This window comes from Homo sapiens, chromosome 5, assembly GCF_000001405.40.
Source record: "Homo sapiens chromosome 5, GRCh38.p14 Primary Assembly".
Lineage (NCBI taxonomy): Eukaryota > Metazoa > Chordata > Mammalia > Primates > Hominidae > Homo > Homo sapiens.
The window spans coordinates 23,975,623-23,991,358 of record NC_000005.10 but is presented as its reverse complement, the minus strand read 5'-3'; the positions used below and the strand labels follow the sequence as shown (position 1 = coordinate 23,991,358).

The window sequence follows — 15,736 nt, the reverse complement described above, 5'->3', positions numbered from 1 at the left end:
ATAAACACAAAACACTCCTCAAAGGAGTATGTGTCTGTTTAAATGTACATCAAATTCCAGAAGAAAACAACAACAGCAACAACAACAACAAACTCTGACAGCATCAGCCTAATAAAATAGTCTTTTTTTTTTTGTCATTCCCCTCATGTGAGGCAACATCACTGGAGAGATGAGGAACCACCATATATTACATGGAAGAAGCTGACAAACAAGAAAAACAAACAAACAAGAACACCGTGCCACCTCTATTCTACTTTGAAAATTTTATAAGACTGGAGCAATACAACGTTAGAGAGAAGAGATCTAATTATACAGACCTGAGGTTTTTAAAAATTACTTTCTAACCTCACGTATTAATTGCTATTTGTGAGGCTAAATATGACCTATCAGATTGCATTGTGACAAAGTAGGAACTAATCCACAGAGGATGTAAAAAAAAGTGTGGTTGAAGAAAGATAAAAATCACTTTACCAGTGAACAACAGGGTCCCAAATATTCAATACAGTGATACAGTAATTATTAAGACATTATTACTTGGGGAGCTTGTTAAATATCAGTGTTGTTCACAGTATTGATACATATTTTTAGAAATGTTGAAAGTCATAGTATTTACTTAAAACTTTAGAGAGATAAATGAATAATTATTTGAGTTTAATAAATGCCTAAAATCACCTTATAGATTTGCTGCTAATAATTGACGAATAAAAATATATGAGGTCATAACAAAATTGATAACCTCATATATTCAGAAAGTAAGAATCTCTGAAAATTTTTTTCTATATAAAAGCAATAAGAACCCTAACAAAATTTTCAGCACCAACTTTTTCAAACTCTAGAAATAAATCTAAGTCTTGCAGCAATACAGAGAGAATGTATGCAAGAAAACTGGCTGAAACTCAGCAAGAATGGAAAACTATGTGGTGTTTTAACGTCTCCTCCATCCCCATCTCTGCAGTACCAATAAAAACCAGCAGCCTACAATCCCAGTGAAAACCCACAGTGGCAGCCACCAAAGAGAAAAACAGGAGCTCCTTCAAAGAATGTTTCCAGAGCACTGTCATTGACTTGGCTGGTGGTTTCCCAGAAGACACTAATGGTAAGTCTGTCTTTAAACAAACTGACTTGAAGCTCACCAGTATGAAAGCCTTTTCCTCTAGGTTATTTGTCAAAAACAATTACAGAAAATTGTTTAGCATTATGGCTGTCTGAAGAAGTGAATAACAGTTTGGGCAAACACTAGGCTAAGAGAAAACTGCAAAGCAAAATCTGGAGTATGAATGTTCATAGAGGATTTTATACATTCCTAAGTATTCCTGGGAATCCAGTAGGCCACAGACATGCTGTGTTCATTTCCTATGGCTTAAATTACAAATCACCAAAAACTTGTAAAAGCACAACATAGCTTAAACCAACAGAAATGTATTCTCTCACATTTCTGAAAGCAAAGAATTCAGAATTAATTATACTAAGCTTAAATCAAAGAGTTTGTAGGGCCATGCTTCCTCTAGAAAATGCAGAGGAGAACCCTAGCATCTGGAAACCTAGCTTCTAGAATTCCTGGGCTGTGGCTACATCATTCCAATCTCTGCATCTGTCTTCACATCACTTTCTTCTAATATGGGTATATAAACTTCCTCTGCCTTTTTCTTATAAGAACACCTCTGATTGGATCTATGGCCCACCCACATAATCCAGAATAATCATCCCATGGTAAACTCCTTAAGTTAATCACATCTGTATACACCTCTTTCCTTATAAGATGACATTTACAGGTTCCAGCAATGTCAGTGGCCACATACAAAATATGGAGACTTCACATAATTAGTTAAGGAGAGTCACTAAGAAATACCATTTGACCCAGCAATCCCATTACTGGGTATATACCCAAAGGAATATAAATAGTTCTATTATAAAGACATGCACATGCATATATTCATTGCAGCACTATTCACAAAAGCAAAAACATGATATCAACCTAAATGTTCATTGGTGATAGACTGGATAAAGAAAATGTGGTATATGTACACCATGTAATACTATGCAGCCATAAAAAGAATGAGATTATGCCCTTTGCCTGAACATGGATGGAGCTGGAGATCATTATTCTTAGCAAACTAATGCAAGAACAGAAAAAGAAATACCACATGTTCTCATCTATACATGGGAGCTAAATGATGAGAACACATGGATACAAAGAGAACAACACACATCTGGCCTATTAAAGGGTGGAGGGTGGGAGGAGGGAGGGATTAGGAAAAATACCTAATTTGATGCTAGGTTTAATACTTGGGTGATGAAATAATCTGTACAACAAACCCCCATGACACAAGTTTTCCATTGAAACAAACCTGCATATGTACCCCTTAACTTAGATGTTAAAAAAAGAAAAAATATTACAAAAAAACCAACACATACAAACAGCAACAAATCCTAGACAGAGGAGAGAATCTGATACTGAGAGTTGCCACATTGTACTATCCTAAAGGTCAGGCTTTCAACAAAAGTACATGTGACATACAGAAAAAAACAAAGTATGATGCATACATAGGTAACAATGCAATCAATAGAAATGTTCCAGAGAAAAACCTGAAAAATAATACATCAGATATTTTAAGTGTGTTCAATGAAGGTGTGGTGGCTCATACCTGTAATTCCGGTACTTCCACAAGACTGAGACTGGCAGGTTGCTTGAGCCCAGGAGTTCAAGATCAGCTTGGGCAACATGGTGAAACCACATCTCTCCAAAAATATGCAAAACGTAGCAGGGTGTGGTGGTATGTGTCTGTAGTCCCAGCTACTCAGGAGGCTGAGGTGGGAGGATCACCTGAACCTGGGGAGATCAAGGCTGCAGTGAACCATGATTGTGTCACTGCACTCCAGCCTGACAGTGTAAGACCCTATCTCAGAAAAGGAAAAGGAAAGAAAGAAAGAAAGAAAGAAAGAAAGAAAGAAAGAAAGAAAGAAAGAAAGAAAGAAAGAAAGAAAGAAAGAATAAAAGAAAAAGAAGAAATACATCACATCTAAAGAACTAAAAGAAAATTTGAAAAGAGTGTCTCAGTGTATTTGTTTGCTAGGGCTACCGTAACACAATACCACAGAGTGAGTGTCTTAAAAAAGAGAAATGTCTTTTCTCATGATTCTGGAGGCTAGAAGCCTAAGACCAATGTGTGGGCAAATTTAAATTTGTCTAAGGCCTCTCTCCTTGGTTCCTTCTCCACCTTCTCACTATATTGTCACACAATCTTTCCTCGACCTGTGTACCTCCTTTGTGTGCGCAAATCCACTCTTTCTTATAAAATCATCAGACAGATTTGATTAGGGACCTAAAAAATCATGTGGGTAGCCAGAAATGACTGAGAAGGACTTTATTCTATCTAGCTTACCAAGAGGTTCTCAGGTCAAGGAGTGGTTGTCATGCCTTGACCCTGATGGCTTCATTTTAACTTATTTACCTCCATTAAAGGCCTTATTTCCAAATATAGTCACATACTGGGGGGTTAGGATTTCAAATTAGAATTTTGGTGGGAAAAAAATCACCTCATAATACTCACTAGATAGAATATATCGAAGTATAGAGACATTGTTTTTTGAAAATCCAAAGAAAAATGTTGGAGTTAAAGTTCCAAATAATAATAATAAATAAAAAATTGACGCAGGGATTGATCAGTAGCAGCAAATGTGATTGGTTGGAGAAACAATCAGTGAACTTGAAGACAGTGCAATTGAGATTATCCAGTCTGAGGAACAAAAAGCAAAAATAATGAAGAAAAACAAACAGAGCCTCAGATACTCGTGGAGCACTATCAAGAGTACCAACATACACATAATGAGTGTCCCAGGAGGAGAGAAGAAACAGAGAGAGGCAGGAAAAAATATGAAGAAATAATAATTTAAAACATCTCAAATTCGAATAAAATATATAAATCTACCCATCTAAAAAGTTCAACAAATTCCAAGTAAAATAAAGTCAAAGAGAATAAAAATGAGACACATCATATTGAAACAATTCCGAGCCACAAAGCAAAAACGGAAACTTAAAATGAGCAAGTGAGAAGTAAATCATTACTAGGAAAGAGCCTCAGTAAAATATCAGCTATTTTTTCATCAGAAACCACAAACACCACGACACAGTAGGTTCACATATTCAAAATCCTGATAGAATAATATTAACTTCAAATTCCATATTTAGCAACACTACCTTTAAAATAATAAAGGAAAAACTAACAAATTCTCAGATAACAAAACTGAGAGAATTTGTCATTAGCACTGGCCTTATTAAGAAATACCAATAAAACAAAAGGATACTTGACAGTTGAATTGTATGAAAGAATGAAGTATGCTGGTAAAGATAACCACACCAGTAAATATAAAAGGGAGATAAATGTATTTTTTTAATTTGTTTTTCCTATCTGATTAAAAATTAAACCAACAAAGCCAAAACTATGAATTAACATTGATAGGCACATAATGTATAAACATGAAATTAATATACCAATAATACCATAAAGGAGGGCAAAAGGAATTGAGATATATAGGAGCAAAGGATTTGTATCCTATTAAAATTAAGTTGCTCTTCATATGGACTCGTTTATTATAGACTGAGATGTTAATTGCATTCCCCAGGGCAACCACAAAAGAAAAAAAAAACTTAAAAATATAATAAAAGCAGGGACAAATTGAAATTTTATGTACAAAAATTATATATTTAACCCCAAATAAGGTAATAATAATAAAAAAAGAAACAAACAGAACACAAAACACTAAGAAAACAAGAAGTAAAATGGCAAATATAATCCTGTATGTCTATAATAACATTGAATATGAAAGAATTAAAAATCTAGCCAAAAGGCAGAGATTGTTAGACCAGATCAACAAACATGACCTAATTATTTACTGCCTACAGAATTAAAAAAAAAAGAGGATGTAAACCAAAGGAAGCGATAAACGTAAGATCATAAATAAATAAAATTGAGAATAAAAAAATAAAGAAAAATTAATGAAACTAAAAGTTGGTTCTTTGGAAAGAGTAACAAAATTGACAAACTTTTAGTTAAGCAGATTATAAAAAAGAAAGAAGGCTCAAATTATTAAAATCAAGAATGAAGGAAGGGGCATAACTGCTAATTACAGACATCAAAAAGGATTATAAGGGAATACTATGAATGATTATATGCTAATACATCAGATAATGGACAAATTCCTAGAAAAACACAAACTACGGAAACTGACTCAAGAAGAAATAGAAAATCTGCATATAAGTATCATAAAGAGATTAAAGAATTAATGAAAATTTTCTACAAAGTTCAGATCAAAATGGATTCACTAGTGAATACCACTCCACCTTTAAAGAATTAACTGCAACTCCTCAGAAATATTAAACATATATAAGATGAGGGAATACTTACCAGTTTATTTTATGAGGACAAACTCAGGTTTGGATTTTATTTTCCTGCTTTAAATGGTGTTGATTTTTTCCTTGCAAACAAAATTTGTTTAAAGTTTTATTTTATTTTATTTTATTTTTAATTTACAGATAAAATAATTATATATATTTACAGGGTACAGTGTGATGTTTTGATTCATGCCTACATTGTGGAATGATGAAATTAGGCTAATTAATATATCTATCTCCTCAAATACTAATCATTTTCTTGTCATGAGAATACTTAAATCACCTCTTTTAGCTATTTTGAAATATACAATATATTATTATTAACTATAGTCACTGTGCTGTGCAATAGATCAACAGAACTTGTTCCACCTATCTAACTGAAACTTTGTACCCTTTCACCAATTGACATTTAATTTACTTTGTATATTATTGAATTTTCTTATTATTGTTTTTATGGTTATATAGGTAATCTAGCAGTTTTTTGTGGGTTTTATTTAGCACTACTCCTGAAGTATGTAGTCTTTGGGGGCTCAATACTTAATACTACAGGTGTTCATTAAATTTTGTCCTCTCTGGTTATTCAAAATCTCGGAATTCTATAAAAAGTCCAATTTTATTCTTCCTAAAGCTCCCTATGAGTCATTCTTCCATTGGCATTATGGAACTTTAAGCATACTCAGCTTAATATTTAGCCAAATATTCTACAGCATTTGTATGCAGATTTCTGGGATCTTTATCTGTTTAAATCTCTCAGTTCTGTTACTCTGCCCCTCAAATTCCACCTGCCATAGAATTCCAAATATCTGATCTCTACCACCTCAATTCAGTGAGATTTTCTTCTCTGGGATAGTGTCTGGGAAGTGTCTCTGATTGGAAACCTGGGCAAACATAGGGCTCATGTGACTTACTTTTCTTTGACAAATAAAAACAAATCCAGACTTAATAAAAGATAATGAGGCTTTTTTACTGGAAGAATTGGGGTATTGCCAGACAATTACAAAAAAAGTGTCCTTTGACATAAGCCCTTGAAAGATAGGTCTGAGACTTTCAATTCCTTCAGTTCTTGAAAGATACTGGGGTGGCTTAGGGAGGGCTATGTTGGGGGACTATATCCTTTTCAACAATTATGCTTTGCAATACATCCACAGCTCAGAGAGGCTCAGGAAAGTCAGTTAGTATGTCTGAACGTGAGGATGGTTAAGAGTTTTGGGAGCTGGGAGAGGGGTAAGCAATTTGGGTTGATCTATCAAAGTTGTTAGAGAACAACAGTGATTGGGGAGGAGTCCAGGACTTCAAGGGTTAGTCCTTTGGGGTGAACACCAAATATTTACATGCCAATAAGAAAGTTAATATCTGTCTAATCGACTAGTAGACGATAACCACGTTGGGCATTATGGGGTGAAGGAGATACAGAAAGTGGTTGAGAAAGGGGAAAGTTATATGGTAAGTTTTCCCATCCCACCGGTGAGATCGTTGATATATTCTCAGGGATTATGGTGAGATCATATAAGGTCTTAAAGTAGCACAAATGGCTTTAGTGTCTGTCAAAAAGGTGCAGGGGTGCTCATTGACTGAGATTATGATTTCATCCAGTTAGTTTAAGGGTTTTTGAGGGGCACATAGGACCATATCCTTCAGAGATATCACTGAGACTTTTGAGTTTGATAAATTCTCTTTCTTTTTGCATAGGCATTAGCCCCAATGTTTCTTTCCCTTACAATACCTAAGATTGACCCAGTATGTAGGACATTGTAGGGAAGTTAAGGTAATGTGAAGAACTTGGAATGGATTTGAAGGACCTGAGAGGAAAAGAGAGAGAAAAGAGAAAGGCTGGGAATGCCTTTGAGGGTGGAGTAAGTGAGAAATAAATATGAGTAGTAAGTACACATAAGTCTACTTAAGTAATACGCAAGTAGAGATAAGCAGGAGAAACAAATTCAAGAGGCTTATTGTACAGCAGACTATACCGTACTTTTAAAAAAGGAAAAAAGTAGATGTTGAATGCTCTCACCACAAAAATAACTGTGTTAGGTAATGCATTTGTTCATTAGCTAGATTTAACCATTTTACTCTCTCTATATACATACACACAAACATATATATATATATATATCTTAGAACATATATATATATCAGAGCATAACATTATATGATAAATACATATAATATTATTTGTGAAATTAGAAAATAACAAAATACATATTTGAGGGAGACAGAATATTATTGAGAGATTAAATAGGCTCAGATTAAGTAGATCAAGTTTGCTGAATGTCCTAATTAAACTTACACTGAGAAACCTTTTGGTTTACACATTCCATAACAAATAAGCAGACTACTGATTAATAAGCAGACCATTGATTATAGAGGAGAGCACAAGAACCTCAAAAAGGCCACTTCAGTTCTACATTATTCTTAGAAATATGTGTCATTGGAGATATTTAACAGAGGTAGTGCAATAATTACAGAGTATATAGTCAGTGGGAGAAGAGAATAAAGGGTACCCGTACAGTGAGCTATGCACAGGATTTGATTATTAAACAGAGATAAGACTTCGAAGAACTAGGAAAGATTCCCTCTCAGTTCATTTCCTTGCACAATCCTATGTCCAATAAGCCAGAGAAACAGTCCCATGAAATTCCAGCCTGGAAATTTGAAGAAAACCAGAAGAGGCTGCACAGAAAGGCCAAAGAGAAGTCTCTTTGCCTACAGGAGTTAAAGTAAATTCTTACTGTGTTTCAAGAGACAAGACATCTGTAGGCTGGATTGAGTGTTGAACTCACCAAAAATTCACTGTATCAATTAAGATAAAAGGAGTTCAAAGGATTTGCAAGTTTCCATTACCTGGTCAAGAATGACAAGGTTTCATAGTTGAGACTCAATGTTGATCCTAATTGCAGCACCAGGAAATTGTCAACTAAAAACTTACTTGGAATTAATATAAAAATTACTGAAAATATTTTGCAATAAAAATTCTATAAACAAAAGATTTGCAAACTTCTTAAGGAACAAGCGGGAAAAGGCTTTTCTTTTATAGGGAGAATAGAACAAGGCTAAGAGGAATCAATATTAGGGATTAGGATCTAGAAGGTTTCCCTGAGGTCTGTGAATTATTGTTGAGGCAGCTCTGCATTCCTTTTCCGCTCAGCGCTGAGGACAGTAGTGGGTTCTGGGCCTTTTGGGTTGTTTTGTAAAGAATGTAAGTTAATGTGAGGTAAATATAATGTATGATGGTTAATTAGTGCATTGCAGAGGTATTAAATCAGGCTTTTTCAGAGAAACTGAACCAATGGGCTGTGTGTGTGTGTGTGTGTGTGTGTGTGTGTGTGTGCGCGCGTGTATGTATGTGTGTGAGTAGATTTATTTTAAAGAATCAGGTGATTATGGAGGCTGGAAAGTTCTAAATCTGCAGAGTGGGCTGGCAGGCTGGAGACCCAGAAAACTTCATGTTGCAGTTCAAGCCCCAAGATCATCTGTTGGCAGAGTTATGTTCAGATCTTGTATCGTGGGATAATGCTGACTTACAGTCTAAAAAGTGATCTTATTTACTCAAAATACACTAATTTAAATTTAAATTTCAGCCCAAAACATCCTCAAATAAACATCTAGAAAGTATTTGACCACATATCTGGGCACTGTGGTCCAGCTGAGTTGACACACAAAATTAAACATTACAATGAATATGAAAACTTTTTGCCTTTCTTCCCTAATGCAGTGCAACTCAAATAGTAATGTGCATAGGATCACGTGGGATATTTTGTATATAGTTGGGATCCCAGAAACCTGTACTTAGTAGTGCAATTCATAAACCTCTTATAACGGACATGAATTAATGATTTTAGCAGTCTCAAGCAGGTAAGAGATTCAGATACAGGCGGTCATGCACCTTTCTTTGAGAAGCACTATTAGTGATTTTCTTCTGACATTTAGTGTTTAATTAATGTTTTATGAAATTGTGGAAATTTCAAGCACCTGCAATTGTTCATCATGGTCATGTTTAATGGTCTGAAAATAACATGTCATGTCTATAATATGCTTTGAATCCATTCATTTCTTTTAACTTTTTAAATTACTAATTTACTAGGCTTATTATGTTTGCATTTTTTACTGCTGTAATAAGACTTGTTAAAATGTAAACTCTAAATATCATCCCCTGTAGATATTCTTTTAGTTGCTTTATTTATTTGTTTGTTTATTTATTTATTTGAGATGGAGTCTCGCTGTGTCGCCCAGTCTGGAGTGCAGTGGCCCGATCTCGGCTCACTGCAACCTCTGCCTCCTGGTTTCAAGAGATTCTCCTGCCTCAGCCTCCAGCATAGCTGGGATTACAGGCACACGCCACCACGCCCAGTTAATTTTTGTATTTTTAGTAGAGATGGGGTTTCACCATGTTGGTCAGGCTGGTCTCGAACTCTTGACCCCGTGATCCACCCTCCTCGGCCTCCCAAAGTACTGGGATTACAGGCATAAGCCATCACGCCCAGCCACTAGTTGCCTTATTTATTTAATATTCACTTATTGTCAATGAATTAGCTTAATGATGATATCAAAAGACTAGCAATCTGCACCCTGGAATATGTATAGGTTTTACAAAGTGTATAAATTCAATTGTCTACTCAATTTATTTATTTTTCTTTATTTTCAACTTTTAAGTTCAGGTGTACAAGTGCAGGACGTGCGGGTTTCCTACATAGGTAAATGTATGTCACAGTGGTTTACTGCACAGATCATCCCATCACCCAAGTATTAAGCCCAGCACCAATTAGCTATTCTTCCTGATGTTCTCCCTCCCCCAGTCTCCTGCAGTTACCCAGTGTGTGTTTTTCCCCTCCCCTCATATATCCATGTGTTCTCATCAGTCAGCTCCCACTTATAAGTGTGTCTACTCAATTTCAATTTAAAATTAGAAACAAAAATACAATGCCTACATATGAGATACACATATTAACAAAATACCTAGCAGTTTGGATTTTCATACAATTAAAGGATAGTAATCTTTACCAACCCATGGATATTAGAAAATAAACTTCGTGACTCTTATCTTCTGGCAAAGGTTAGTTTTAGGATTTAGACCAAATTTGCATTCTCCACACTGTGGGATGTAAAGTGGAATGACAGTGTCACTCACCTTCAGCTTAGTAACTTCCTCGCCAACGCTTTCCACAATTCCAAGCAACTTCATGTCCCAAGATCACTGGAAAACAACCCTTAGGATCAGCTCCACTCAGGGTATAGGTGTCGGTGTGGCAAACCACAGTGGCAATGATTGTGATTCGAACTTCATTAGCCTTTGGGGGTGCCACCTCTATCTCCTCTATGGAGAGAGGCTTTCCAGTCTGCCAGGCAACTGCAGGCTTGTACTTGATAACCTGGTTCACCACGTCCACGGATTCTGGTCAATGTGGGGGTCCCAATTTCATTTCTAATAGAGCTTATTTGATTTTTCTCTTTTTCTTGGTAAATCTCATTAATAGTCTATAAATTTTGCTTATCTTTTCAAAGAACCAGCTTTTTGTTTCATTTATCTTTTACACTTTTTTGTTTCAATTTAATTTAATTCTGTTCTGATTTTTGTTATTTCTATTCTTCTGCCTGCTTTGGCTTTAGTGTGTTCTTATTTCTTCAGTTCCTTGAGGTGTGAATTTAGGCTGTCTGTTTGCACTCTTTTAGATGTTTTGATGTAGGCATTTAACTCTATGAACTTTCCTCTTACCACCACTTTTGCTGTATCCCAGAGGTTTAATATGTTTTGTCACTATTTTCATTCATTTCAAAAGTTTTTAAAATTTCCATCTTGATTTCATTGTTAACCCAAGAATCATTCAAAAGCAGATTATTTAATTTTCATGTATTTGCATAGTTTTGAGGCTTCCTTTGGGAGTTCATTTTCAATTTTAATTCCACTGTGGTCTTGTTAGCAATAGGGAGTGTATCCAAGTCATGCAGTATGAAAGTGTGTTAGCAGTGGCAATTCTGTATGGGTCTACATAACCTTGATTCTTCCCTCCTCAGAAGATAGTATTTGACTGAGGGCTATAAGGCAGAGGGAGAGACAGAAGCAGGTTTTAGAGCAGGAATGAAAGTTTATTTGAAAGCTTTAGATCAGGAACAAAAAGAAATAAAGTACATATGGAAGAGGGCCAAGCAGGCGACTTGAGGGATTCAAGTGCACAGTTTGACCTTTGACTTGGGGTTTTATACACTGTCATGATTCTGGGGTCTAGCATCCTTTCTCTCCTGATTCTTCCCTTAGGTTGGGCTGTTCACATGTGCAGTGGCCTGTTAACACTTTGGGAGGGGCTGCATGCAGAATGTGTTTACTGAAGTTCTATGCATTCTCACTCAAAGTGTTCTTCCCTTACCAGTCAAGGGTTCCTTAAAGAGGTCATATACCAGTTAAACTCCACCAATTTGGCTCTTACTTTGCATGCTTGAGCCCACTCACCCAACTCTGATCTTATTGGGAAGCTGCTGCTCATCAGTTTCAAGTTTTCTGTCTATTGGGAGACTACTTTTTTCTGGCCTTGGCTGCAACCAATTGTTATTTTAGAGAGACAGCTTAACAACCCCATGACCATCACCTGAGGGTCATGTAACATTCCTGTTGGGGATGGGACCCTCTCCTTCCCTGCCCATGCCTGAGTAACTACCAACTGTAACATCACAGTCTGAGAAGATACTTGATATAATTTCAATTTTCTTAAATTTATTCAGATGAGACTCATTGGCTTATTATATGATCTATCTTGGAAAATGTTCCATGTGCTGATGAAAATAATGTTTATTCTGCAGTTGTTTGGAAGAATGTTCTGTAAAAAATTGTTAGGTCTATTTGTTTTAAGGTATAGTTTAAGTCCATTGTTTCTTTGCTGAATTTCTCTCTTAATAATCTGCCTCGTGCTGTCAGTGGAGTATTGAAGTCCCCCCCACTATTGTGTTGCTGTCTATTCAATTTTACACATCTTGTAGCAATTATTTTCTAAATCTGGGAACTCCAATGTTAGGTGCATATAAATTTAGGATTGTAATATCTTCCTGTTGAACTAATCATTTTATCATTGTATAATGTCCTTCTTTGTCTTTTTGTACTGTTGTTGCTTTAAAGTCTGTTTTGTGTGATGTAAGAATAGCTGCTCCTGTTCACTGTTGGTTTCCATTTGCATGGAATATCTTTTTCCACACCTTTACTTCAAGTTTCTATGAATCCTTAATGTGTTAGATGAATCTCTTGATGACAACAGATATTTGACTGTTTTTTTTTTTTTAATTCACTCTGCCATTCTGCATCTTTTAAGTGGAGCATTTAGGGCATTTACATGACAAAACAGGGCTCTATAACTCCCCCACAAAATCACACTAGATCCACAGCAATAGATCCAAACAAAGATAAAAATCTCTGAAGTGCCATATAAAGAATTAAGAAGGTTGATTATTAACCTACTCAAGAAGATACAAGAGAAAGTTGAAAACCGATTAAAGAAATTCAAAAAACAATCTAGGATTTGAATTAAAAATTTTGTAGAGAGATAGCTACCATAAAGAAAGAACAACCACAACTTCTGGAAATGAAAGATACACCTAGAAAAATACAAAATGCAGTGGAAAGTTTCAACAATAGACCAGAACAAGTAGAAGAAAGCATGTCAGAGCTCAATTTCCCCTACTGGAAATTTATTGCCTTCCCCACTACTGGAGGTTTGTGTGAGGCTCAACATACCCTACTGGAGAGTTCTCACCTTTCCTTTCCTAGAGGCTCAACGCCCCCTGGTGGAGGTTTCTTGCACTCTTCTTCATTCGCTTCGTTCTTCTCTGGCCATTTCCCTCTCAGGCGTTGGGTCTCTCTTAGCATTGGTTGGTCAGTATAAACCCCTGACCCAGACTCCTTTAGAGGAGCACTGCCATAAGCCATATGAAGGGACCATGGAACCACAGATGCAGACTCAACACTAGCTTTTCACTCAATTGTGCATCTTATTCACATGCTTTCAACCTTCAAGGTATCCCAACCACCAAGGAAGTACTTTGTCACTCTTGCGATGTTTCTTACCTTGGTCTGTGAACAGAGTTACCTGGTCACCGCAGTATGTGAGCTTTCTTTCCCCAACTTGTTGGTCTGTTTCTTTCCTCATTGCTGAGAGTCCAGGTTTATTTGTCACACTGGTGGCTCCCAATTCCTCACCCTGAGGCCACTGCAATGAGGCAGTGCAATAAGTCTCCTCATGAGAGGTTACCGGAGACCCTTTCCCCATAGGAGAATGGGAATCCCAGATAAGCCCCCAGATTGCTGAAAATAAGAGCTCAGAGTTGCAAGGAAAACGAGCACTCAAACAACAGATTTCTCAGCAAGGCAAATTTACTTCTGCAGAAGGGTGCCACTCGCACTTCTGGCTGCTATGAGAGCATACCGAACAAAGGAGGGAAGGGGTTTTTATCCATAAAACGGTTAGTCACTGCTTCTATGTCCTGTTCACACTGGCTGGGGCTGGACCACACAATCTAAGCTAATCCCAACTGGCTATTTCAAATACAGCAGGGATGTGGGTTACAGTGGCAGGACGAGTGGTTTGGGCAGGAAGAAGTTTTGGCAGGAAGGGCAGTTGCAGAGTGGGTAACCAAGGGAACAGATGTGCGTTATAGTTTAAGACTGGCAGGAAGGTTGTTTACTGTAACTAGGGGCAAGGAGGTACAAAGAACGAAGAAGTTAGGCTTTGAAAATAGAGAACAAAGAACAAGGAAGCTGAACAAGCTGACTCTTTGAAGAGGAACTTACTGTACCTAACAACTTCCAAAAATACAGCTTAAAGAGTTCCATGTACTTACTCCCCAGTAAAACAATTGTACTAACAAAAAAAAGTTTTTTAAAAAAACTAACAATTTATATCATCTGAAAATTCTTCTAAGGGCATATAGCAAGTGAAGAAACATTTTTTAAAAGAAACTACCAAATCTTGTAGATCTGAACAAGAACAGTTAAAGTCTGCTTCACTTGAGCCATGATGCACTTCTTTCCACTTCCACCTATCCTCTTTTCTCAAACATATTTGCATGAGAGAAGCTCCACTAAAACAAGTAAAAAAAATTAGGCTCCATCTCCCTTTGGCTCCTTATAAAAGAAAAGAGCATCTCATGAGAATAGGGCAAGTAAGCATCATTTCTCATCCCCCTAGTTCTAAGTTGAAATGTATAATCTGACAACTATTGCTACAAAATTACAGTTTCCTTTTTCCATCGATCCCCCACTTATAGTAAGGAGGCTCTATTCCAAGTGTATCCAAGGACAGTGGAATACTGATTACTCTCACTCCAGCTCACCCATGTGGTGGCAAACAATAACAACTACAATGAAAATAAGGTGAGTGGAAATAGTATATTTGAAGTGGTAGAATTCCCAAAATAGAAGGCAGATCTATGGAGATTATGAATGCTGAAGAATAAGGAAAAATCAATGAAGAAAAATGAGGAGAGTCTTGGAGAAACATAAAAAAGTATTAAACATGCAAACATATGCATATTAGGTGATCCAGGAGAGGAGATAAAAAACACTAGCTGAAAACTTCATATTTAATTAAAAATAAATTAATCTACACACAAGAAGCTCAACAAACTAAAATTTAGAAATGTGCAAAGATACCACCCCCCACACATATTATAAAAATTGTCATAATCATAAAAAGAAAAATTAGAAAACTATAACAGAAACATAATTTATCATGTACAAGGAAATGCTAATAATATTAATAGCTACCTTTATATCATGGACAATGAAAGTCATAGTGGACCTATATATTCAAAATGCTGAAAAATAAACGTAAGCCAAAAATCTTATATTCAGCAAAAGTATTTCTCAAAATTAATAAAATAAAAATGCCTCCAGAGAAATGAATTCTGAGAGAATTCATAACTAGCAGATGTGTCTTACCTGAAGTACTGAAGGTAATTCTTCACGGTTAAAGCAAGTGCCTACGGACTGCAACTGAAAACAAACAAACAGACAAAAATTAAGAGCACCAGTAGAGGTAATTATGACATTCTAAAATACAGCAGGGATGCTTATCTATTCTCCTTTTTCTCATAACTAATGTAAAGAGCATTGTACAAACAACATATATTTATGATTGTATTGTTACAACAACAGCATATAAAAATGAAATTAATTGACAATAACAACACAAAGTAGGTGGGTAAGAACAAAGCTGTACTGGAATAATGACATGACATAGATAGTAATGAATCTACAAAAACAAATTAAGAGAACAATAATTGGTAAATAAGAAGGTTAACAAATGCTGTAAATATATGTTTGCTTTATTTCTTCTCTCAGCCTCTTTCAAATAGATATAATTCTGT

At 35.9% G+C, this 15,736-nt stretch overlaps 1 long non-coding RNA gene and 1 pseudogene across 1 annotated transcript in view; both read right to left on the bottom strand.

The window, feature by feature from the left end:
• The window catches only part of LINC02899 (long intergenic non-protein coding RNA 2899), a 226,918-nt gene that overhangs the window by 186,907 nt on the left and 24,275 nt on the right, over window positions 1–15,736 (bottom strand). Inside the window, exons 2-4 of the long non-coding RNA NR_131245.1 lie at window positions 15,309–15,362; window positions 13,437–13,578; window positions 10,518–11,422 (exon numbers count right to left, since the gene is read on the bottom strand). This is a non-coding gene — a long non-coding RNA (long intergenic non-protein coding RNA 2899). The remainder of the gene's footprint in view (window positions 1–10,517; window positions 11,423–13,436; window positions 13,579–15,308; window positions 15,363–15,736) is intronic.
• On the bottom strand, window positions 10,421–10,772 carry ADH5P5 (ADH5 pseudogene 5; annotated as a pseudogene).